The 27293-nt window shown below is 34.0% G+C and overlaps 1 protein-coding gene across 17 annotated transcripts in view; it reads right to left on the bottom strand.

Annotated features, from left to right (window-relative positions):
* The window catches only part of CADM2 (cell adhesion molecule 2), a 1115441-nt gene that overhangs the window by 338562 nt on the left and 749586 nt on the right, over positions 1–27293 (bottom strand). For 7 of the 17 annotated variants that reach the window (NM_001375961.1, NM_001375960.1, NM_001167675.2 and 4 more), the window contains one exon: positions 9320–9346. The exons of 8 other annotated variants lie outside the window; for them this stretch is intronic. Coding sequence is in view for 7 of the 9 variants with exons in the window: in NM_001375960.1 (NP_001362889.1) it covers positions 9320–9346 (27 nt within the window). In the remaining 2 variants the exon portion in view is untranslated. Of the gene's footprint in view, positions 1–9319; positions 9625–27293 lie in introns of those variants that run through there. 2 more of the 17 variants (NM_153184.4, XM_017006063.3) reach the window with 1 other exon arrangement.

The following is a 27293-nucleotide window of genomic DNA, read 5'->3' as shown; positions in this document are numbered from 1 at the left end:
CTTCAACTTTACATGATGAAAACTGAGCTGTCGTTATTTTGTTGTGTTAGTCCTGTCTTTTCGATCTTGTAAATGTAACTTTGTCCTTCCAGTTTTCAAGTAAAACCAAACACACACACAAAACAAACAAAACATCTACACTCCATTCTCTATATCATGTCCTACTTCCAGCCAGCAAATTCTACTAGATATAACTTTACCTCCAGTGCTATGATTCTCATCCTATTATAATCACATTTTCCACTGGATTCTTGGAAAAGCATCCAAACAACTCTCATTGCAGTCTTTTTTCACCAGAGCAACCAAATTGATCCTCTTAAAACTAAGTCAGTGCACATTTCTCTTCTGCTGAAACTTCCCATGGCTCTCTACTTCACTTGAAGGATACCAAAAATCCTTACATGACCTGTGTCTCCATTCCCTCTATGACCCTCTCTCTAACATACTGTCCCAGGCTCATGCTTTTCTATTCTTACAGGGCTGTTGAATATTGCTCAAATAAGTTAGGCCACTTTCTGCCTTAAGGCCTTTGTCTTTGCTGTTTCCTCTTCTTGGATTGTTTCCATTGGCATGGCTTGCTTCCTCGCCATCAATTTTCTGTTCAAATGTCCACTTTTCCTGGTCTACCGACTCAAAATTAGAACCACTGTCTTTTCTACTCTGCCCAAGTATTCCTAACTCATTCTTCCACTTTATTCTTCATAATGGATACTACATTGTAACATACGACAGTATGTAAGTTTTTTTCTTAAACTGATGTATTTCCAGGAGTCCCTGGAAATTTTGGGTAAAGAAATGATTGAATTATTGAGTGAATGACAGCTCCATGCAGTAAAAAATAAAGAACATATTCACAACACACACACATACACACACACACACACACACATATATATATTTCTAGTTGCTACATTTTAAAATAGAACAAATAAAGATGATAAGAAATGCTCTTTTACTATATCTCTTACTATGTTGTGGGTTGTTTTAAGAAATCTCCTGAAAATGACTAAGAGTTTTTAAAACTTGGATTCCCTTAACGTGTCTATTATATTTAAAAAGAAAAAAGGCAGAAAAAGAAAGAGACATATGGTGAGTTATGTATATGTATATATACATATATGTATGTATACATATTATATTTAAAAAGATATACACATTATATTTAAAATATATATATTATATTTAAAATATACATATTATATTTAAAAAGAAAAAAGGCAGAAAAAGAGAGAGATATGGTGAGTTATGTATATATACATATATGTATGTATATATATGTGTATGTGTATATGTGTCAAATTATATATAATCATATATGTATATATATATGTATGTGTGTGTATGTGTGTATGTGTCAAATTATATATATATAATCTCCATTGTATCTTATCATAGTGCTACATGTAAATGTTTGTGTACCTCCAAAATAGACCACACTGGGGGTAAGGCAGGATTCATATACAGTCTCCCTGCATTGAGAGTGCCATGTGTTCTCATTTGGAAATATCTCTTAGGAATTATATAGGATATTACATGACTTCTCCTATTTGGGCATTGAATTTCCTGACCATGAGCAAAGCAGCAGGGTCTTAGTGTCCCCAAAGAGTGATGCTTGATTGAAGATCAAATCAATAATTGAACAGACCCTAGAACCCAGGAATTCTGATAACTTTCCCCAAAGCTTTTTAATTGTACACTTTGCCAGTGATAACCATTATATATCAGGATAAATTAATTTTTTTCATTAAAAATATGTAACCATAATTCCATCAAATTTGAAATACAGTAAATTACATTTATTTTTAGTGTAACTTAAATTTTGGTGTTGTAGCATTGTTTTAAAAATGTCCCACTAACTGCTACACATTGATCATTCTGTTTCTCCTTATTACAGACTTTTTTCTGTTTCAAAACCTGTAAGAAGCCACAAATCTTGGGAATTTAATTACAGACTTTCTAAACCCCCACACAGAAGCTGTAGAATAAGCAAATACCAATTTTATTAGCATAATAGAATGACATGAACCAACTGAATGAATTGAGTCCCAGAAGATCTTGCCTTTCAGATGAGATGTGTTTAGACAGAATAAAAAAGTATTATAATGATTTATTTATTGTAGAAATGAGGATACAAACTTAAAGTAGCAATGCTTAAACTGATTTCTAATTGCTATACAAAATTGAGCCTTGTTTTCATGGCAAATGAGTTGTATTTATCCACATGTGCACAGTGAAGCTCAAACCTATTTTTGCATTTCAAGAAACAAAGAGAGATGGAGAAAATGCACCTCCATTAAATCAATTGGAAATAATATTATTTTAGACTTGCAAATGGAATATATAACACTCTCTCTCCATTGTGACCCAGACTAGTTTGTACTTTGCAACATGAAAGGGGACAGTTATGCAACAGAAAGTAATGAGATAATCCATAGAGCAAATGCATGTCAATATCCCTATACAGTGAGAAATAAGAAACAGAAACCACATCGAATGAAGCTGCACTTTAGAAACAACTAAAATTACTTATATTTTGACCCACTGGGTCATCTTACAATAAAATTTTTATGAGCACACTCCTTACCTCTGTTTGTTTCTTCTGAGTTCAGCACTTCACATTAGCTGTGCCTGAAGCTTTTCTAGAACCTTACTCATCTTATTGAGAAACTAATTACCTTCTCACTTTCCCAAGAGGGAATAAGTGAGGTTAACATAAGGTAAGTGAATGACAGACCTAGAAGAAGGAGAGTTTTAAAAGAATGAGAAATGCCAGATTTACCTGGAGAATATTTTTCTGGCCAGTGGACCCAACTAAGCTGGTCCAATATATTCTTGCTAGCTACTCATCAGGCTATATTATCCCTACTCCCAACCCTACTCCCATCTGGGTGGGTGGTATATATGTAAATGCATTTAAATGAATGAGATTCAGGTAAGTTGTAATATTGATTAATCTGATCTCTTTAGAGGATTTAATAGATTAAAAGCTTGAATTCAGGAGTTAATATGTCTGGCTTAGAATTTTTGCCCTGCCTCTTACTCATTTTGTGAACTTAAATTTCTTAACTCTGCTTCATTTTCCACATTTTGAAAATGACGATAAAATGGTACCTATCTCAGAGGGTTTTGTATGGATTGAAAGAGAAAACACCTACGAATGCTTAGCACAATGTCTCACACATGGTAACATTTAAGAAATATTAGCTGTTATAATTATCATTGTTACTTACTTTTTTAAAAGTTAGAAAAAAGCTGCAGTAATATATCTTAATAAACATTATTGCACTATTATATAGCAGTGTCTTCAGCAATTTTCTTAGAGAAGTGAGGTGAACTAGAAGGTAGATTTAGAAGGCAATCTTCCTAAAGGTACTAGCTCGGGGTCTTCCACCTGAATCCCTAAATGAAATATGTGTTACAGAAATACAATATGCTTTTAAATTCCCTTCTATATGTCTAACGCCCCTGACACATATTTCCTTAGATCAGTCTTGTGTAGAATAAGCATAAACTTCAATAATTGACTCCTGATTCGTTTTTTATGAAGATTTTGTAGCTGTTATGCAAGAATTTGAATTGTGTCTTACACTTTTTTTCTTTTTTTTTTGAGACAGAGTCTCCCTCTGTCGCCCAGGCTGGAGTGCAATGGTGTGATTTCGGTTCACTGCAAACTCCGCCTCCCAGGTTCAAGTGATTCTCCTGCCTCAGCCTCTGAAGTAGCTGGGATTACAGGCGTGTGCCACGCTCAGCAATTTTTTTTTTTTTTTTTTTTTGGTATTCTTAGTAGAGATGGGTTTTCACCATGTTGGCCAGCCTGGTCTTGATCTCATGACCTCAAGTGATCCACTTGCCTTGGCCTCCAAAACTGCTGGGATCACAGGTGTGAGCCATCACACCCGGCCCACTTTTAAAATTACAATCTAAAAATAGCTTTAAAAAAGTAGTTAAGTGATATTTTCAAAAAAAATATATTATGGCCTCATTACTTAATTTCTTCACTGATAATAAAAGCAGGATATTTTTACATTTTAAGTATTATATAAGCCTCTCTTTGTCATAATTTTCTCAAATTTTTTATTTCACTTGTGGTTGAAATTATTTAATAATATCATTTATGTACTTTGTTTTTTAATATTAAAGGTGATGAAAGAAAAACATATACCTAGTGGATCATTCACATCTTATACTGTATGTGTTTATTTTAGTCTTATAATGAATATAAACATATGAATGCCATTATGAAGAGGAAATATAGTGAAACTTACAGAAAAGTTTTAGTTTTGGGACTTACCTAGGACTACATGTTTTTGTGTTTGTTCATTTTTCCCACAGATATAATTTAAATTGTGATAGTAATAATAATAATAGGTACAATTTACTAAGTGCTCACTGTGTTCCATTCCCTATGTCAATCCTTTTTTGTGTGCTTTATCCAATAAAATTGTCACAACTGAATGTTGTGTGAACTTTAATGAAAATTTGTCCAGGTGCTCAAATCTAGCGAGTTGCAAAACAAAGATTCAACATATTCCTGTCTGACTACAAAATGTAAGTCTTAATATATAAGAAATACTACATGATACAAATTAAAATATAGGCACCTGACTTAAGATAAAAATCTCAAAATAGTTTGAAGCAATGTCTCAACTTCAGCCTCTTACATGCCTTTCAATTAACCTCCAAAATTTTTCATATGATGGGTAGCCTGGGATTCCAAATGTCATATTTTGGCTTTATAGCAGATTTATAATATTCTCCTATGAATAAATCATTTATGTGATAATATTATGTATGACTATTACTTAACAAACTCAGCAAATTGAAATACTGATTCTCCTTTGAACCATATATATCTCAATTTAGATAGCTAAGGGCTCTGCATTATCTTAATTCTTAAGCAAAGTCAGAATAATTATGTTAATTTTTATTTGAGCACTGAATAATGATTACATGATTGTTGAGATTTAAGACATTCGCTTTGAAAATAATATCTAAAAGCTGGCATTCTAGAAATAGCATAGAACTATAGTTGCCAAATTTTGCTTAAAAATAAAGCCCCCAAATCAGGATTAAAGACTAAAAATATTTTTTCTGGGTTAAAGCTATTTAAAAAATTGTAACATTTTGGAGCAGTCATTAAGATACATTTAGCCTATTTTTATACATGCATAACAGAGTGAAATAAAATTATTTTATACAAAGAAATTTTAAGACTACTTTAAAGTACCTTTCTCCTCTAAGTGGCAAAGCAGTGATGATCTTGTTAAAATTCAGCATGATATACAAATGTAGGATAGACTTGTATATCAAATGTAGCATGTTGAGAATTGAATCAGGAGACAAGTTAGAAACTATTTCAGGCAAGCTCTGAAGAATGAGATTTTTTATATTTTATTTTATTTTATTTTATTTTATTTTATTTTATTTAGACAGAGTCTGCCTCTGTTACCCAGGCTGGAGTGCAGTGGCAGAATCTCAGCTCACTGCAGGCTCCGCCTCCCTGGGTCAAGAGATTCTCCTGCCTCAGCCTCCTGAGTAGCTGGGATTACAGGGGACCATCACCACACCTGCCTATTTTTTGTATTTTTAGTAGAGATGGGGTTTCACCATGTTGGCCAGGCTGATCTCAAATTCCTGACCTCAAGTGATCCACCTGCCTTGACCTCCCAAAGTGCTGGGATTACAGGCATGAGCCACTGCACCCGGCCAGGAATGAGAGATTCAAAGAATAAGGATTCATGCAAAAGACACTATAGGGATAAAATTAGGACAATTTGATAATTAATTGGATGAGAGGGCCATTAAGAAAGAGAAGTTAAAGGTATTTCAAATCTTTTAAACTTAGAAAATTGGACTAATATTCATGTCATGAGAACATATAGCAAACCCAGAGGGTTCTTAGTTACAAAATAAGTAAATAAATAAGAATATCGGTTTCTAATATTAAAGTGGAAATATTCAGCAGGGTGATGAAAATATCAGACAAAAGCTTAACAGTTAAGTCAAGTTCAGAAAAGTGTAACAAAGTCAATGAAAAAACCCTTAGAAAGAAAACATTCATATTATTTCTCTTTTGATTCTAAGCAAGAGAAACCTATCTAGAAATTTTTATTAAAAGACATCTGTGTCATAGACCCAGAGAGTAAAGATAAAATAGAGCCTTAGCAATACGTTAGACCAAGAAGCTAGTGCACCAGCAGAGTACTCTCTCAATCTCTCACTCTTCATAGAGTCCTCCTTCCTTCTTGTGGCATTTGTCAACCTTAATTCATTTTATTAAATCTACATACAAAATTTACGCGTGAAGAGTAACAGAACTGATCAACCATCTCTGTTTCTTTGTCTTACCTCCTTGACTTTTCCCTCTCTCTCTCTCTAGCCCTTTCCCAGTTATAAGTTTTCTGAGAAGCAACTCGACTGGGTCATTTATGTTCCTCTTGACAGGCAACAATAGTGAGACAGGTTGGTTGCAGGTACACAATTGTCTAGAAAATGGCCCCATTCTTTATTTTGTAGGAAGTGAAGTTTATCTCTCAAAGGCAGTGTGGAAAGCTGAACCTACACTACAATAGTTGATCTTTTCAAGAATCAAAGACAACCTGAATAAAACCTGTATTTCAGAACAAGATATAAATGGAGAGAGAAAGAAAGAGGCAAAGAGAAGTTTTAAAAAATGAAGTATGTACAGTGCCACTGAAACCAAAGGAAATGTAAATTCAAAAGAATATAATATGTTCATCAGGAAAAAAATAGCAATATGAGGATTGAGAAACCACCCTTGGATTTGGCCATTGGAGAATAATTAGTGATCTTCAGAATAAGTTTCTACAGAAATAAGCAAAGAGCTAGTTGCTACATTATTTGATAAAATTCAGGTATATTATGTCTATGCTACTGCCCTCCTATACTGGTATAGTAACTCACATTTAAAAAAAGAAGGTGTAATTTCCTATGCTATTACTAATAATTTCTGACTGATTCTCAATGAACTCTGTTTTAACCTAAATACCCACCAACTGTTGTTTTAAGAGTGTTTAAAAATCTTACTGGGAAATTGATGTCAAAATGACCAGTTTATGGTTTCTGGAAATGAAATCATTACTCCTTACAAAAAATCAGAACACATTCCTCTCTCCAATATTCCAGAAACTTTCCACATTTGCGTGATTCCATAAGGATAGATAAATGAGATATAATCTTCTTTAAAATTTCTCTCGGTTCCCTGGTAAGTACTTTTTCTGGGCCAGGAGAAATGAACTATTCTGAAGCAACCATCTGCTCTTATATTATCTTGGGTTTTATTTTCCTCTTATCCACTTTTTTTTTTCTGTTTGAAGACCATTTGCCTTCATATAGAAATTGGACCAAAAAATCACTGAGTAATTCTTTCTATTATCTCTACATAATATATATCTTTCTTCAGCAATGGTTAGAAATAAAATTTCAGTTTCCACTTGAGGCACAATTAATTTTTGAACGTGTCATTGCTTGCCTTGTAGATGCAAAAATATAAGCATGCGGAAAGCTATGTGTTAAGGCCCCTACAGGCTAGTATACAAGTAAAAAGAGGAGAGTCAAATAAAATGGCTAAGTGTGGAACACTGGGGATGGAAGTGTGGAAGGCACTAAATTGGATACAGAAATATGCTTGCATTATAAAATTCTAGTCAGCTTGAGTCCTGAAATGACTTGACAGATACCTGTAATATAATTTATGACTATAATTCTCCAATGATGAAATGGCTTTTCCATATTTAATACTTAGCAGCCTGCGTATTATAATTCAAATTATTTTCCATTGTTTTGGAGAGTAATTGATTACTAGAGGTTTTATGTGATCAAATACTGTAATGACTCATAATCACTCCATTGTCTATTGCATCATCTTAGAATTTATTTTTCTACACTTTCTTATAAAAGTACCAGGTTTCATTCAAAAGATTTTCTCACCACACTAGACTGTATTCACTCCTGTTTCCAGACCTTTAGTTAGCCTTTCTAATTATTTTTTTAAATACACTACTTGTTTTCTATGTACATCCTATCCATCCTTCAAGAGCCACTTCCAGCTCCACCTCCTACATAAAGTGGTCTCTGATGATTCCAGTGCTGATATGCATCTCCCCCTGGTTCCCTTTACACTCATATGCTGTACCCTGGAGCTGGTGCAGTGTGTATAGTTTGTAATTCCTCATTCCTAAAACTACACTTCTCATCCTTTCATTATATAAACATATTGTGCTTATACATTTATAGACATGTATTCATTATCAAATAATTTCTGAATTGCTGTGAATGTATTTATTTTGTTCACAGCCAGACAGAAAATTACTGTGGCAAGGATTGGCTGATTTTCCACAACACTTACTGGAACAGGAAACAAGGCTAGGTGAGCTATAAGAAAGGTGACAATAAATTTGCCATCTCCTCCTTTAAATATTTCATATTCTATAAGCAAATACATTGCTATGACAATATTAGTTGTATGATAAAGGCTTGACTTTATAAATAGGGAATAGTTAACACTTCAAAGATGAGCGTATGTCATAGTATTAAAACTAGCTGTAAAACTAGAACCTGGAACTGAAAGAGAAAAAAATTTCTTTTGCTATTTAAGAAGCAAAAGCAAAAAAGATTTTTAAATATGTAGACTGCTCTAAACAGAATGAAATTGAAATACATAAATGATAGGTCTATGATACAGTATCATACATGTATTTGAATTTTTCAAACCCATAAAAACTGGGACACATGGAGCCAAAATACTTTTTCTTTATTTTCAGCGTTGGACATGTGCATCTTTTATCATGAAAACACATTTTTAGGTTTCTAGCAAAGTCAAACAATGCAACTAAAAATGAAAAAATAATCATAAATAGAAATCGATAGCTTATAATATTCAGTTTTTAGAAGATTAAATTTTATTTTCACATAATTCTATAAAAGCATACTCATTTTTGAGACTTTCCATCAGTTTTATTTTATGCTGTATTTTGCCCAATTCTCAATTTTATCAAGGAAACTAAGGTACGCATGCAAAATGTTAGTGCAAAAAAAGCACTTTATTGCACTTTGAAATACTTAGGAATAAAGTGAGAAGTGAAACAAGAAAACAAACTCACAAACATTCATGCAAACATGTCTCAGAAATTGGATAACTGAAATAATTGATATTTGTATTTGTAGGAATTTATGAACAATATCTATACACTGAAATAGTATTATCACCAACCGAATTGGTTCTATCATTTAAGAGAACTTAGAAGATTGAGCAGAAAAATGAATGATGATGACTCATGCAGAATAAACAGGAGCTCACCTTTAACTTTATTCTTTGAAGCAGCCGCTGGTACCAAGGAAAGGTTGCACAAGAAGAGAACAAACATATTAGATATTAGACAGATTCTCTAGTAAGAAAGCAGAGATGTTATTGCTATTAAAGTCTAAAGAGTACATTTGTGATTTCATGATCAACAGCCTAAGAAACAAAATGACTATTGTTACATTTAGTTAGTGTTATGAGTAAGATCCTTGAGTAAGACAAAGTAAGAGCAGACAGGAGCCATGTACTACACATTCCAAACACTACAAGTCACCATATTCCTTTAATGGAATGTATAACTTTAAGTTCTTCTTAACTCTAAATTTTATTTAATAATCAATTAAAATTATATATAGTTTAAATATACTTAATACTATTTAACAATCAGATTGTAACCCCATGATATTTGAGTAACTAGAAAAGCAGGCCACTTCCATCATTTGAGTGCTTTCTAAATGCCAGAGACTGACTTTCCATACATCTACCACTTAATAATGACAACTGTGAGAAGTAAGTTTTGTTGCCCTTCCTCATAGATGTGGAAACTGGGAATGAGAAAGGTCAAATTACTTGCTGAAGATGACACATCTGGAAAGCAGATTTGGGATTTGATTCTAGGTGTATCTGACTCCAGAATCTGTGCTGTAAAATATTACCTTAAGCTATTGGTATTTAAGGAACTGATTGATCCACTAAATTGCAAGCATCAGTTCTACAAAGCCAAATAAAAATTATATGATTCACTAAACTCCAGCAATTTTGGTACTTGGTTGACACATAAACATGAGACTAGAAAACTGTATTACTTTAAATGGCATTATTTCCATTAATAAGCTGAAGTATAAGCTTATATCTAGTGGTAAACATTGTTTAAAGCAGAAGTCAAGTTAACAAGAAAATTAGAACAGTCCTACAGGACAGTCCCTTACTCAAAGGAAAACTTCTGTTCAAAATGCGTAATTAGATACCTCTAAATACTTCTGAAGTGATATAGTCTACTTTGACTTACTATTGAAAAATGAAGATAGACAAAAGCAGGAATGGGTTCTGGCTTTCTAAATGATGTTAAGGAGGAAATAGTCCATCTCCTAATTGGGAAATGTGCAGTCTTGTTTGGTGGACTGACCTTTAGTAAAATTTAACATAGATTTTAGATCTAGTAATTATGAACTACACATGAAAAGTTCTAATTTCGACTTCATTCTTTCAAGTTGCCTGGAGCTAAAAAAAATTTAGAAAGTCTGTGTACATACCAGGCTACTTACAGATAATTTTTGTTTTCATCTACAATAACAAAAACTGCCTTACTATTTGCATATATATGCTACTAGTTTATTTTAAAATGAACATCCTAGTTTTAAAATAATAAAATTTTTACCAGACAAAAACATCTTAACTAAAAACAAAGTTATTTTAGGAAATCTGGATTAAGTCCTTGACCCATTCAAACTCTTTTATTTCACAGCTCTCAAATGGACATAGACAAAGTGGTAGACTACTTACAATATTATTGTGAAGATTTTTTTTAAAGTAACTTAAAATTCAAAGTGTAACTATTATCTGTTCTTTGATATATTTACTACTTATGATGCAATAATTCATAAAATTTAAAGCCCACTAAAATATTTAATATCAAAACTTAAGTTTTAAAATTCAATTTCATCAAAAATCTACATTCCTTTAATGAATGTTTTGGCTTAATTGTTTAAGTACAAAATTGATATATATCAAAAATTACAGGTAATATAGCAAAGTAAACAATATCCCCTCTTCCTTTCCAATGTCAGCAACTGAGATAATCAATGCCAGCAATTTCTTAACGATAAAAAATAAAATTTGCAGTTCTTATAAAAACCTAAAAAAAAAGTGTGCATTTTGTTTCCAGAAGAAGATTTTACTATACACATTAATTTGCAGTCTGCTTTTCCCACATTTCCAGGTTAAAACACGGAGTGCTAACTTATTCATTTTAATAGTTGCATATTTTTATGTAGTTTATATGAAGTATGGAACTATTTTGTATTATCAACAGGTTTGTGGTTTGGGAGCATCTTGCTGTATTCTGTTTTTTTTTTGCTAACAACAGTTTTGCAACATGCATCTTTATGGCATATCTCTTAGGCACTGTTGTAGTGCTTTATTTCTTCAGGACATAAATTTCCAGGTTGTCTTCACATTTCTACTCAGAAAATCCTGGATAAAGATGAAGACTTAAATATTGAAAATGGAAGAGTTGGAAATATTTGGAGAGAAAGTGTGCAAGTATATTACATATTCTAAAATAAGAGATCACTAAAACAAGAGAAAAAAAGGAAGAGAGAAAGTAAAGCACAGAATCTACTATTTCAAACAACTGATACACTACAAATTCTTCATATCTTTAAAATCATAAATTGGTTTATTTAACTTTACCTACTATTTGTTTTAATTGGATTCCTTGGTAAAATGTTAGTGGATTTTAAGTGAAAATAATTTAAAATTATTTTCCTTTTTTATTTAGTTATTTTTTGTGTGTATTGTTTGTTTTTAAGACTGAGTTATTTTTAGATTATGCTAAAATAATGTTTGTCTCAATTTCAAAGGAAAGATTACAATGCATCAATAAATTGACTTGTTCATTTGAAGAACAAATTTGCTTCAAACTCAAATTCATCACTTGAAAAATTTTAGCATGAATTCAAAGAAAACATGCCAAAACCTTATAAAGTTTTGGAACAATAATAATTAATTAGCATCTAACATGTAACAGATACAACCAATCTTTTATAAGAAATCATTTTATCATAAATTAGTGAAATAATGATGGATAAAGCTAATCTTTACATTTATCAGTGGATTGGAGATAAGTTACTGACAATTCTCAAACATTGTATGAAGACAGAGGATTTTATCCTTTGATTGTTGGGCAGGTACCAACATAGAATAGAAAGAAAAACAAAAGCTCTATGCCTGTTTCTGTATGCCGGCAGCTAATACTAGACTAGGTTAATATAATTGGAAAGAGGCCAGGCTATCAGGCTTGTTAGCTCAATTATAATTCTCTGCATATTCAATAAAAGAAGCCAAGATGACAGGAATACTGTCATGAATGTCATGTTCAATACTTGTAAGATTTTCCATTGTCAGCATAGTCCAATTAGAAGTCAATTGTAAAGTGCACATTGCACACCACCCCAAGTGACCGAAAATTATCTTAAAAATGCAATTTTAACTGTTTATAGATAAAATAAACAGAACAGAATTAAAGATACTTTGACCAGAGAAAAGTTTTAGATATGACACCATTTTTTGTCTTTATAATAAAAGCAGCAAATTGTTACTATAACACAATTATTCATACTACTTTTTTCAGAGATTGTTCGTTATAATATTAAAATTGTAAATGGTGAGAATTATAATATTGATTTCACATGATTTTACATAAGTTTGTGAAAACACGTATATATATGTGAGGAAAAATCATGTGAATGATAAAATAATTACCATAGCTATTTATGTAGAAATGCTGAAGGGTTAGTGAATGTTAGTCATTATATTAATAAAGTTTATCTGAAAAAACATCAGTACAAATAATCATAAAGTACAAATATAATTGACTAGGTTACTGATTTGTTTAATCAGTTTTAAATTAGACACTTGTCTGGCTATTTGGAAGATGTATCTCTGTCTAATATTTTCTCAAAGATTTAGGGACTCTTAAAATGCATTTCTTGAAATGGAATTCAGGGACTATTAGTAGGGTATGAAGGCATTCTCAGAAGAGATTAGATAAATTTCACCCGTCTCAAGACTGATATGACTAGTCACATTTTTGCTATTCTTTTATTCTGGCTTCTTATTTTAACATTTACTGTCATAACACAAGGGTCATATATTTTTAACATTATTTGCAATATATGGGTAATATAGAGCTTACTGGATTTACTGGTGCCTTTAGAAGTGTTTGTTAGAAAGTTATTCGTCAAGGAAACATTTTGTAAATAGTTAGCAAGGACATTACTGGTATTTATGCAGGGAGAGCTAAAGCACTATGGATCTTTGTATTTTAAGATTATGTAGAATTTTATTGAAATATTTTGATTTGGGCCTTGTGTCTGTTATCCTTCCTCCTAAGCAAAAATTTATAGATAAGGGACAATTCTTTCTTAAAAGAGGAGGCAATAGAGTTAGAGCTTAGATTTTTTAAAGAGACAGAGATTCCTGACATCTATGATTTTGATGGCAGTGGCAGTCCATGTGGAGCAGCCACTGCCATTCCAACAGCTGCAGAGAGGAGCTACCCACTCCAGGGTCTCCTCTCTGCTAAGAGTAGCAGACACCAGGATAACCAGCTGCAGAGAGGAGCTACCCACTCCAGGGTCTCCTCTCTGCTAGGAGTAGCAGACATCAGGATAACCAGCTGCAGAGAGGAGCTACCCACTTCAGGGCTTCCTCTCTGCTGAGAGCTGCGGAGGTCAGGAAGACGAGCTGCAGAAAGGAGCTACTCACTCCAGAGCCTCTTCCTTGCTGAGAGGTGAACACTCTATGTGACAACCTGCCCGTAGACAGGAACTACCCACTCCAGGGCCTCCTCTGACCTATTGTTGCTCAATAAAGCTCCTCCTCAACTTGCTCACCCTCCATGTTTCTGCATGTCTCATTCTTCCTGGGTGTGGAGCAAGAATTCAGTACCCAACAAATGAGGCTAAAAGAGCTGTAACAGAAACAGAGCTGAGACATGCTCCTTGCTTGCCACATTGTGGGAGAAGACAAGAAAAGAAGAGCTGTGGCCCTTCGGGGAGCCAAGACCTGGGAGCACCCCATTCCAGGGCTGTGGCTCCCACTTTGGGGCCCTGCAGTTCCTAGAGTCTCCAAGCTTCCAGGCACTACCTTGGTTCCCGGTGCCAGCTGTGGAAGCTTCTTGCAGTGCACCTGGTCCAGCTGCAGCCTCACGGAGAGCTGGTGCCCATGCCGGCACCTGGAGCTGCCCGCCCTGCTGGAGCACCTGGCATGTCTGACTGTGCACAGTGTCTGGACCCCATCTCACACATACACCCCTCACCATTCCACACCTCACTCGCCCTTGGCAGTCATGAGACCCAGGCCAGTAGTGTGAGCCGAGTGCATCCTGCCAGGCCAAGTGAGTGAAATGAGCCCAGCAGGCCTGAGGAAAACACAGGAAAGGTGCCACCAGCCACAGAAATTTCTGACCAGAAAAACGACACCCCAAAGATCCCATAACAACTTCATATTCAGATATATTAGATGTTTCCCTTGATTCAAATGTATTTGCAGCAAAACAAAACATTGCCATTGGAAGATGCTGTGCAGTATAAAGTTTTCATATATGAAAAGTTACACTTATAGTACACACTACAAATTATTAAAATAATGGCATTGCCACTACTTCCCAGAATAAATACAGTGAAAACAATGAGATCACTCATGTAACAAAACTGTGCTTCAGAGAAGAGGAATGCCATTTTTAGAATACAAAGCACTTCAGTGGTGAATTTACAGAGAAAAAACACACTTCTGAATATATATATTTTAAAATCTACTGCGTCGAAATGTAGTAACCATTAGCTATTATATAACACAGCAATGTTAATCAACAAACCAATGATTTTTATTCCTTTATGATTGAAATAACACTGATTTGAAAAGGGGAAATTCTACTACATCTAATTTATCAGATAGTACATTATTACTGTCTTTTAAGACACAGAAATTAAAATATCTGCTGTAGAGGGCTAGATAACTGCCTACCTTTTCTCCTCTTTTTGTTTTCTTTCTTTAATCATCAAACACAAAGTTAAACACATTTTTTCACTAATCACATGAAACTTATTAAAATAGCATCTTTCTTAACTATCACCTAACATTGTCTAAGTACTAGATTTTCTTCTAAGCCTCATTAGAATTCAAAGACTTGAAAAAGTGAGAATTTAATTTATTTCACTAGTTTTTATTTTTTCTTAATCACACAAATATCATACTAGGAAAAAAGTGTAAAAATGGTTTAAAATGTTTTAGAAAGAAACACTTGCTATGGAGTTACATAGCCAAATATTGGATGGATGGAAATAACTCTTAATAGAAATACTCCAGCTACTAAACAAAGAGGAAATAAAAGAATTAGAAAGTCACCATTCTGCAATTTTAGCAAATACTCATATTTAGGCAATGATTACCATTCAGGTAATATCAGTAAAAGGGAATCTACCAGATATTATATTCCTCCTCAGCGATGGACACAACACCACAAAGGAAGAATTTTTTCAAAATAATGAAAACTGGATAGCACTATGTCTCTACATTGAACTTCCAAAGTCCAACAAATACAGGGGACAAAAAAAATAGTCAAATGAGGCCATGAGTAAAATAATGAATGTGAGAAATGACACACAATTTTGCCATTTGGTTCCTTTAGCAAATAAATTTCACGGCAGAAAATACCAGTTAGAGGAGAAACCTAAAAGACACATCAATTAATTATCATGTGTAGACTACAGTGGATCTTGAGTTGAACATTAGATACTTCATAGTGTTAGGAAATTATTGTTAATATTTACATGGGATAATAAGAGTACTGTGACTATATTTTTTAAGTCTTGTTTTTTGTTTTTTTTTTACAAAATTAAACACTTGTGAAAACCATTTCATAATAATTTTGGGATGTACAATGTTTAGTATATTTTCTTCCTGTTTTTGTATGTGTTTGAAATTTTTGATAGTAAAAAACTGTTAACATGTTTTAAATATTTAAGTAAAACTTGGATGTTTTCCTGTTTTAGGTACAGTTGACCCGTGAGCAATACAGATTTGAACTGCATGAGTCCACTTACAAGCAAATTTTCTCCTGCCTCTGCCATCCCTGAGATAGAATAACCAGTTCCTTCTTTTCCTCCTCCTTTTCAGCCTAATCAATGTGAAGAAGATGAGGATTCAGATCCTATAATGATCCACCTCCACTTAATGAAGAGTAAATATATTTTCTCCTCTTTATGATTCTCTTCATAACATTTTCCAAACTCTAGCTTACTTTAAGAATACAGTACATGATACATATACAAAATATGTGTGAATTCACACTTTATGTTATCAATAAGGCTTCCAGTCAACAGCAGGCTATTGGTAGTTAAATTATTGGGGAGTTAGGAGTTTTCCTTGAATTTTTGACTGTGGTGGGGAGTCAGTGGCCCTAACCCCCATGTTGTTCAAGGGTAAACTGTATTACAATTTCTGAACACATCTTTTCCTATGATTTAATATGATAATGTATATAAAATAGTTCAGCGTTGGCTACCCATTGATAATTGCATAGAATGAGGTCAATTTATCATATGTGTAAATTACTTACAATATGTGCAACACAAACAAGCACAATGAAAGTAATTTTGGCTATGAAATGCTGTCTTAAGAACATGGAATATTTCCACCCTGACCAATATGGTGAAACCTCATATCTACTAAAAATACAAAAATTAGCCAGGCGTGGTGGCGGGCACCTGTAATCCCAACTACTTGGGTGGCTGAGACAGGAGAATTGCTTGAATGTGAAAAGTGGAGGTTGCAGTGAACTGAGATTGTGCCACTGCACTCCAGCCTGGCTGACAGAGTGAGACTCTCTGTCTCAAAATAATAATAATAATAATAATAATAATAATAATAATAATAATAAAATACCATTAATTTCCTCTATAAAATAAATACTTTGTTTCCAAAGAGGTGAAACAGAACTTTATTGTAAGATTTTACCTACTTTTTGTGTGTATTTTGAGATTTCAGTAATCTATATAATTACTTATTTTCCCTGTTTTCTCACTTTATAAATACTGAATTATACATAGCAAAATAACTGATATTTTATATTAAATTTTTTTCACTCTACCGTTTTCATGGTTCTAGTACAAATAGTTTATACATAAAATGTTTACATGATCTTTTTCTATATTTATTCCTTTTGCTTTCAAACATCTCTTTAAAGTTCATGAGTCAGTACCAATTTTTAAATCTCTTTTTCTTATGCTATATTTCCCAATTTCCTTGTAAGATTATGACTTTTGTCCCAATAGTTACAAAGGGAAGCTTTCCAGCCAAGAATAGAACTTAAACTCATGCCTCTAAAAGTGACTCTGTAAGATAAATGCAAACCCTTAGATGTCTCAACCATTTATTATTACAAAAGCCTTAAGGAAGTACAGGAATAAAAGGTTCTCAATAACTAAAGTACACGGGCAATCTTTGAAGTTATATTTTATGTCTACATTACTAAACCAAAAAGCTATTTTAGAAATACCCTAAATCTATAACTGGAACATAATAGAGTGTTGATGATTTACCTCATTTCATGTTATTCCCCATATTCTCAATGGCTAATTTTTATGGGTTATATATACATATAATATACACACTTCAGAATATGTTACCAATGACATGAACACTATTAGGTGTAAGAAATATTTATTGACACATCCTTAAAAAACTAACTTCTGGCTGGACGTGGTGGCTTAAGCCTGTAATCCCAGCATTTTGGGAGGCCAAGGTGGGCAGATCACCTGAAGTGAGGAGTTCAAGACCAGCCTGGCCAACATGGTGTAACCCCATCTCTACTAAAAATACAAAAAATTTAGCCAGGCGTGGTGGCAGGTGCCTGTAATTCCAGATACTTGGGAGGCTGAGGCAGGAGAAATGCTTGAAACTGGGAGGCAGAGGTTGCAGTGAGCCACGATAGTGCCATTGCACTCCAGCCTGGGCGACAAGAGTACAACTCTGTCTCCAAAAAACAAACAAACAAAAACCCCCACAAAACCACATGATTATCTCAATAGATGCAGAAAAGCCCTTCGATATAATTCAACAACGCTTCATGCTATAAACACTCAATAAACTAGGTATTGAAGGAATGTATCTCAAAGTAATAAGAACTATTTATGACCCACAGCCAATATCATCCTGAATGGGCAAAAGCTGGAATCATTCCCTTTGAAAACTGGCACAAGAAAAGGATGCCCTCTCACATAACTCCTATTCAACATAGTATTGGAAGTTCTGGCCAGGGCAATCAGGGGAGAGAAAGAAATAAAGGATATTCAAATAGGAAGAGAGGAAGTCAAATTACCTGTTTGCAGATAACATTATTGTATATTTAGAAAAGCCCATCATCTCAGCCCCCTAAATCCTTAAGCTCATAAGCAACTTCAGCAGTCTCAGGATACAAAATCAATGTGCAAAAATCACAAGCATTCCTATCCAGCAATAATAGACAAACAGAGAGCCAAATCATGAGCAAAGTCCCATTCACAATTGCCACAAAGAGAATAAATACCTAGGAACACAACTTACAAGGGATGTGAAGGACCTCTTCAAGGAGAACTACAAACCACTGCTCAAGGAAATAAGAGGGGAAACAAACAAATGGAAAAACATTCCATGCTCATGGATAGGAAGAATAAATATCATAAAAATGGCCATACAGCCCAAAGTAATTTATAGATTCAATTCTATTCCCATCAAGCTACAACTGACTTTCTTCACAGAATTATAAAAAACTACTTTAAATTTGATATGGAACCAAAAAAGAGCCCATATAGCCAAGACAATCCTAATCAAAAAGAACAAAGCTGGAGGCATCACACTACCTGACTTCAAACTGTGCTACAAGTCTACAGTAACCAAAACAGCACGGTTCTGGCACCAAATCAGATATATAGACCAATGGAACAGAACAGAGGCCTCAGAAATTGCACCATGCATCTATAACCATCTGATCTTTGAAAACCTGACAAAAACTAGCAATGGGGAAAGGATTCCCCATTTAATAAATGGTGTTGGGAAAACTGGATGGCCATATGCAGAAAACTGAAACTGGACCCCTTCCTTACACCTTAACAAAAATTAACTCAAGATGGATTAAAGATTTAAATGTAAGAACTAAAACCATAAAAACCCTAGAATAAAACCTAGGCAATAACATTCAGGCAAGGGCAAAGACTTCATGATTAAAACACCAGAAACAATTGCCACAAAAGACAACATTGACAAATGGGATCTAAGTAAATGAAAGAACTTCTGAAGAGCAAAAGAAACTGTCATCAGAGTGAACAGGCAATCTACAGAATTAGAGAAAATTTTTGCAATCTATCCATCTGACAAAGGTCTAATATCTAGAATCTACAAGGAACTTAAGTAAGTTTACAAGAAAAAAACAAACAACCCCATCAAAAAGTGGGCAAAGGTTATGAACAGACATTTCTCCAAAGAAGACATTCATGCAGCCAACAAACATGAAGAAAAGCTCATCATCATTGGTCATTAGAGAAATGCAAATCAAAACCACAATAAGATACCATCTCATGGCAGTTAGAATGGTGATCATTAAAAAGTCAGGAAACAACAGATGCTGGAGAGGATGTGGAGAAATAGGAACACTTTTACACTGTTGATGGGAGTGTAAATTAGTTCAAACATTGTGGAAGACAGTGTGGCAATTCCTCAAGGATCTAGAACTAGAAATACCATTTGACCCAGCAATCCCATTACTGGGTATATACCCAAAGGATTATAAATCATTCTACTATAAAGATGCAGGCACACACATGTGTATTGCAGCACTATTCACAATAGCAAAGACTTGGAACCAACCCAAATGCCCATGAATGTTAGACTGGATAAAGAAATTGTGGCACATATACACCATGGAATACTATGCAGCTATAAAAAATAATTCTTTCATGTCCTTTGCAGGGATATGGATGAAGCTGGAAACCATCATTCTCAGGAAACTAACACAGGAACTGAAAACGAAAGGCCTCATGTTCTCACTCATAAGTGGGAGTTGAACAATGAGAACATATGGGCACAGAGAGGCGAACATCACACACTGGGGTCTGTCAGCGGGTGGAGGGCAAGGGGAGGGATAGCATTAAGAGAAATACCTAATGTAGATGAAGGATTGATGGGTGAAGCAAACCACCATGGCACATGAATATCTATGTAACAAACCTGCACGTTCTGCACATGTATCCCAGAACTTAAAGTATAATTAAAAACAAACAAAAAATTCAAAAAACTAACTTCTAAAATCAGTGAGATTCATCACATTTTTTAATTTTCAGGGTGTTCTAATGTTTTGTTCTAATTAGTTACTACCCTAATTTGAACTTTTTACTCACTAATCTATTTTAAAATGCATTCTATTTTACTGATTAAATGCATGCAAACTAAAAAAATACTTTTTGCTCATAATTGGTATTGGTAAAATAGTGCAGCAAAATAATGCTTCTTTGAAAAATTTTTGAGCCAACAAAGGTCTCATTGTCATGACTGTCATGTAGAATTAACAGTGGGATGGTATCTACCACTAAGAGTTTATATGCTAAGGCAGAAGGTGACATGTAAAAAATTATGTGTCATAAGCATTCTCTCCCTATGCATATGCATATATATATGTGTGTATAGAGAATACTATATTGTAGAATCACATAAATGTGTAATTAGAAATGTATTTATAAATGTATACATTATATAAATGTATAAATGTATATTATACCACTGATAATTTTTTTTCCAGGAACGATAATGATTGGACTCTGTATTAGTAATGAGAATGGTGTGCAATTAGAAAACTAAAGTGTCACCTAGTAAGCACATTTATTGACTGTTAACAGCTTTGTAATGGTTATAATGGATGACTAGTACTCATTGATGTAAAGGAGGACACCACCACCTGGAGATTACCCAGATCTCAAGGGTTTATAGCATCATCTTAACGAGGGGAGTAAAAGGAGGTGGGAAAAGAAGCAGAATAAGGTCAAGTAAAAATAGATAAACAGGGCCAGGCGCGGTGGCTCACACGTGTAATCCCAGCACTTTGGGAGGCTGAGGCGGGCGGATCACGAGGTCAGGAGATCGAGACCATCCTAGCTAACACGGTGAAACCCCGTCTCTACTAAAAAAAATACAAAAAAATTAGCCGGGCGTGGTGGCGGGTGTCTGTAGTCCCAGTTACTCAGGAGGCTGAGGCAGGAGAATGGTGTGAACCCGGGAGGTGGAGCTTGCAGTGAGCCGAGATCCCACCACTGCACTCCAGCCTGGGTGACAGAGTGAGACTCCATCTCAAAAAACAAACAAACAAACAAAAAACAGAAAACAAAATTTGACAGGAAAAATAAAAAGTTTTCATAAGAGAAGTACTTAGCTTTTGAGGTGATATTACTAAGTAGAGAGTGATGTGAAACTCAGGACCATGTGTTGATCTGGCCTATTGTGTTCAAGCAAGTAGTCATTGAGCAAACATAAATGCAGTGTTTCCTAACTCTTTATTACTAGATAGTAAGTCAATTCTGGAAAAGCTGTGCAAATGGAGAATGTGATTAGGAATAATTTAAGGGATTCAGTTTAATCTACTTCAGTGTGGTTTCAAATAACCTATTCAATTCCCAGGAGATCCAAAGGAAGTCATTTTAGTGTAGCTGGCAAGGCAAGTTTCTGTATGTGTAAGTATATGGTCAAGAATTGCTTGGTTCTGGCCTCTAGTGAATCTCCCCAAAGAGGAGCTTGAGCAAGATAAAATGTGACCTCCAGAATGTTGTGCATAAAGCCACCGTATCAAATACCCTGTACTACCACTTCTCTGATCTCATTTTGACTTATACTTCAGGTAGGGTCATAATTGCCTAAAACTAAGTCACCCACACTAAAGGGACTAAGGTCCAAATACTTAACATATATTTTGTATTTAAGGCATGCTAATTCAAAGAGCATGTAGATACCTATTTATAATCCATCATTTCCATAAACCAAATGATGAAAATGTGGTCATTTAGAAATGTCATATTTAAATTCTTTAGATGTGATGTTTAGTAGTTTTTACCGTAATATAATTAAGGACCTCTGACATATAGACGCAAGTGACAGGAGGAAAAATCACATTGAGAATTCAATTGTAGATAGGTAGGTAAGAGCTGAGTTATTGCTATGTGGTTTCAGTGGGTAAGTGTCTTATGGAGTGCCTAAGTGGCATCCTTTTTTCTTATGTTCTTCTGCCTTCTATTTCATGTTTCTATATATTATTGATAAAGCCAGTGCTTTGTAGGATATAAACTATGGTTTAGGCTAGGCACGGTGGCTCATGCCTGTAATTCCCAGCACTTTAGGAGGCCCAGAAGGGCGGATCACCTGAGGTGAGGAGTATGAGACCAGCCTGGCCAACATGACGAAACCCCGTCTGTACTAAAAAATACAAAAAAGTTAGTCCCACGTGCCAGCGGGCCATCTCTACTAAAAAATACAAAAAAATTAGTCCCGCGTGGCAGCGGGTGCCTGTAATCCCAGCTACTTGGGAGGCTGAGGCAGGAGAATGGCTTGAACCCGGGAGGCGGAGGTTGCAGTGAGCCGAGGTCGCGCCACTTCACTCCAGCCTGGGAGATAAGAGTTAAACTCTCGTCTCCAGAAAACCAAACCAAAACAAAAACACTGTTTTAAGAGATAAATTACAGGTTTATTTAAGGCATAATAACAAATGTTGGACAACTGAAGATCTATGACTACATCTCAATCTGAAATTCACAAAAGTAAGGGCAGTATACATGACATTTCTCTGAGATGTGGTAAGCATCTCACAACTCTATTTCAAAACATACAAGCAAATGCATATTAAATATGCCACAATCTGGCCCACTTTAGGGACATAAGATATTTTATTTAAAAAGTATTATAAAAGTTAATTTTGAAGTTATATATAAAGAAATAAAAAGTCAAACATGACCTAGATTTCTGTGCCAAATATAGTGTTAATAAACATGAATAGTATTTGGGGAAAAAAAAAAGCTTAACATGATCTGAACTAAACATATTTTTCATTTGAGTCAAATATTCTGAGGCATTATTACAATTATTAGTCTAATATTTGAAGGGAAGGAGCTTCCAAACATAGTCTGCCCCAACTGGTAAAATGTCAATAGGTAACAGTACTCAGGTCATATGAAAATAAAATGGAAAAGGTCTTAAGTGTTCAGTTTCAGAAAATGTATTAGGTATACTGACAGCATCTTCTGCTTTGTGGAAAATTTCTTTGGAAGTTTATTACTGACTCTGTTTAAAAGATCACTTGAGAAAAAGTTATTTCAGTGTCCATTATTAAAATATGATAACAAAGGGTAGAGGGGATGGCAGAGAGAGATGAAAACTCTTGTAATTACCAACTACATAACTGTGATATACTAAACAAACCACTCTGTATTTCACATGTGGAAGCAAATTAGATTACAAATATCTTAGAATGTCATGAACTGTCTTTCATCTCTAGAACAGTACAACTATTTTAGGAGAAAGACTATATGAAAACAATTATGAATACAAAGCAATAAATTAGTTTTCATGATTCACTCAAGAAAATTAGTAGTAACATTATTCTGTAACTACCTTAGATTCAGATAATTTGAAATTATAGTCAAAAGATTGCCATTTGGAATAAGTTTCGTCACTGAAGAGAGGAACAAAATACTTTTTATCAAGTCAAGTACAGAAATACATTCTGGATTCTAATTCTCCCAGTACCTCACAATGCTACTGAGTGAAGGTGAGACGATTACATCATACTACGCTACAGGTAAGTGAGCTGCTGGCTTTTGACTTCTAATATGAAGCTCAACTGGTGATCATTATGTTCATTTTATATATCAAATGCTGCATAGAGTAATAAGGTTTTAAATTTATGTCTGTAAGATAATCATAATATGTAACAGTTCATATATTAATAAATACCTAATCTTAAAAATTACAGTAGGCCATTATTTGTGTTTGTGTTTATTTTTGTTTCATAAATTGAAGCATTCTGCTTTGAGGTTGAATATCTATAATAGCCATATTTAAAATGAAAAATAAAAACAGTTTTATCTTCACTTGTTAATGGGATCGCCTTGAAGGAAAGATGTTTTCAAACAAACCAATGTGATCTAGAATGTAAATTGGAAAAGATAATAAACCTACAACAAGCAACAACTTCACTAAATTAAATGAAATATGAATTCTTCAGAAAGTTTTCTTTACTATGTTCTGCCCTAAATGTTTTAGAGGTGATATTAGTAAATCTCACAGTTAAAGAAGAAACTTAATGTTTTATTTTTTTAAAGTTTCCTTATCTGTGATTCTATAAGGATTCACAAAGAAGCTCTGAAGTCAGACAGTGTTAATTTCAAATTGTGTTTGTGGGAATTGAGGCCTTAGGGGACAAAAGCGATTTTCTCTATATTCTCCAGCTACACAAGAGAAAGATCCAGAATGTTCCAAGTCTTCAAAGTCCCAGCACAGGGATCTTTCCCTGAAAACATATCTCATAACTTTCAGTCCCCAGATACTGGTTCATATTATCTATTGAACAATAATATATTTCATTCACAAAGAAAATGTTTGCATCATGATGCTATTTTCCATAATTTAAAAAACTACTTTACTGTAGATACTAATAAACATGTTAAGAAATCCCAACAGTTTACATGAAAATATAATTTATAGAGAAAGGAAAATATAATTAATTCTCAGGATTTTCAAATAGTCAAATTGTAACCAAATTTATTCAGGTTATTTGCATTTGAATCTATGTTAAGCCTAAAATCCCACCTGGCATGATTTCAGAGATTCAGAGAATCTCAGAGTTAGAAGGTACCATCAAAGGTTATCAGGTCTAACTGCCTTCCTAGCATTGATTATCAAATATCATGCACTCTAAATAGAAGGGCAGAGACAGCTATTCTGCAGCATAAACTGCAACTGTTCATTAATTTTAAAACTAGGAAGCATTACTTAAAAATGCAATGAGTAAATTATAATTCAGCATTCTGACTCATGCGCTAAAGGCTAGGTCTGAACATGAGTCACACCCCTGTGCCAACTGAAAGCCAATAGAAGGCTCCTAAACAGGAAGTTCAAAATTCAAAATGCAGTTCTGTATTAAACTGTCCTCAATCAATGTTTCAGATGTGGAAACAATTTCGAAGTTATACCTCTCTATGCAAACTGGAAAGAATATAAAATATATCCAATGTTCCATTTAGGAGCCATAGTTTGAGAGTAATTCAAGTCAAGATAATATAAAAGCCATTTATTTAACATGCACTATAAATTATAGATATGATAATGTTCTGGGACAAATAGCGTAAATGATACAAGTCCCTGTTTTCCTGAAATTTATTGTCTGGGAAAAAAAAATTTAAATAGAACATAAGTGTAACGTTTTAGAAAGATCATTTCCACACATAAGAAAAGCTGGTTGGAAATCTAGAGCAAGAGAAGTCTTTCCAGACAACAGCATCAGTGCAAAGGCCCTGAGAAGAAAAGAATCATGGTGTTTGGAGGAAGGAGGTCTTTTAGCTTGTTATGCTATGAAGGTGTAATAAGAAAATGGTGTTCCATAGCTCTGTTGTACCTACCTCTATACATACACTATAGGAAATGTTCTGCATTATGTTCATCCCACTTTTTAGACCCAGTGGTGGATGTAGTAAAAGAGGAATGGGCACCTGATTCCATTTCCGGAGAGCTGTGAGATTAATTTGCTAGAGTACTCAGGTAACACACTTTCCAGGCTATAGAATAGTTAACATTTAAAGAAAGCGTTCATCTGCAGGCAGCCATTTACAGCACTTACAGCGTACATTGAAGCTGGCAACACAACTATGACTACTCCTCCTTAAAACCTCATAAAACCCCCTTTTCAAAGAGATTTATGAATAATGTGAATTAAATAATTCATGGGACTGCAGATGCCAGTCCAAATAGCCTCTTCTTTTTTAAGGTTTCAGTTTGTAGAACTGTGATCAAAAGCCTCCATCAGTCATGATAGGAGCATTTGTCCTCACTCCAAACAAACCATATTTGCATGTGAATGTTTTTCATTGAAATGAGATATATAATATGCCAGCCAAGGCCCAACTAAAAGGCATTTTATGCCATTTAAATTCAGTCACATTAAAGGCTGAATGCAACCTAAAAGGTCTGCTCTCAGAACAGTAATTTGACACATCATAAATAAGAACCATTTTTGTTAGTGTAGGTTCAGCACTTGTCAGAAAATTGTACACAGCCATATTAACAAAGCACTGCCTCTTAGAGAGAAATAAACTATAAGGAAAATCTTGTATGTAACGCAACAAAACACACAAACAACAGTGTAATATGGTGTCACTAGTTCGAAGTTGACATTTTTCACTGACATTTACAGAAAAAGATAGATAGCAGTTTAGCCTGCTTAAATGCCAAGATAAATTGTTAAAAACAAATTTTTGTTTAAATTTTAAACTAAAACCCATGTTTAGAAATAGGTTAATACATTGATTTAACTCATTAACTTAATTCTTGGTTTTGGAAGCATTGGTGACGTTTTCAACTTAAAAGCCAAGTTGAAAAATATTCAGTGTTTGAAAAGTTTATAACATGTGTTTAGAGATCTGAGTTATTTGGGGACCTAAATTTTCACTAACGATAATAAACAGATTTTATTACTAATTTCCTAGTTCTCACTGACTAAAAGAGAATATTATTGGGTAATAAATACTGAGATAATTTTACATGAAAATTAATCATTGTATCAGGCAAAAGCCTAGAGAGAGGGCTGTGGTTTTTTTTTTTAAAAAAGCAAAGAAATAAACAATCTGTTTAACAAACCCATAATCTGAACTGTCCCACACATACAACCTTTTTAAAAAATATTCTTCCACGTGCAACCTTTGTGTATATTTCAGGCAGGTCACTCTTACCCCACAAACATCAAGTTCATTGTCACTTAGTTCTGTGTCCTCAATAACATTAAGAAAAACACCAGAGTGTTGTATAGTCAATGTTAAATAAAAGCCAAAACTGGAATGTGCAGAAAATAGGCTTTGGTTAATTTGTGGATTCATTTTTATTTTTGTCTTTGTTTAACTTTTTAAAAAATAAGATTTCTGGAGTAGATTGGTATATTATGTTAAAGACTTACAGTGATCCATTT

This window comes from Homo sapiens, chromosome 3 (assembly GCF_000001405.40).
Source record: "Homo sapiens chromosome 3, GRCh38.p14 Primary Assembly".
NCBI classification, from domain to species: Eukaryota; Metazoa; Chordata; class Mammalia; order Primates; family Hominidae; genus Homo; species Homo sapiens.
Note: the sequence above shows the minus strand (reverse complement) of the source record. Positions and strands in the feature narration are given on the sequence as shown.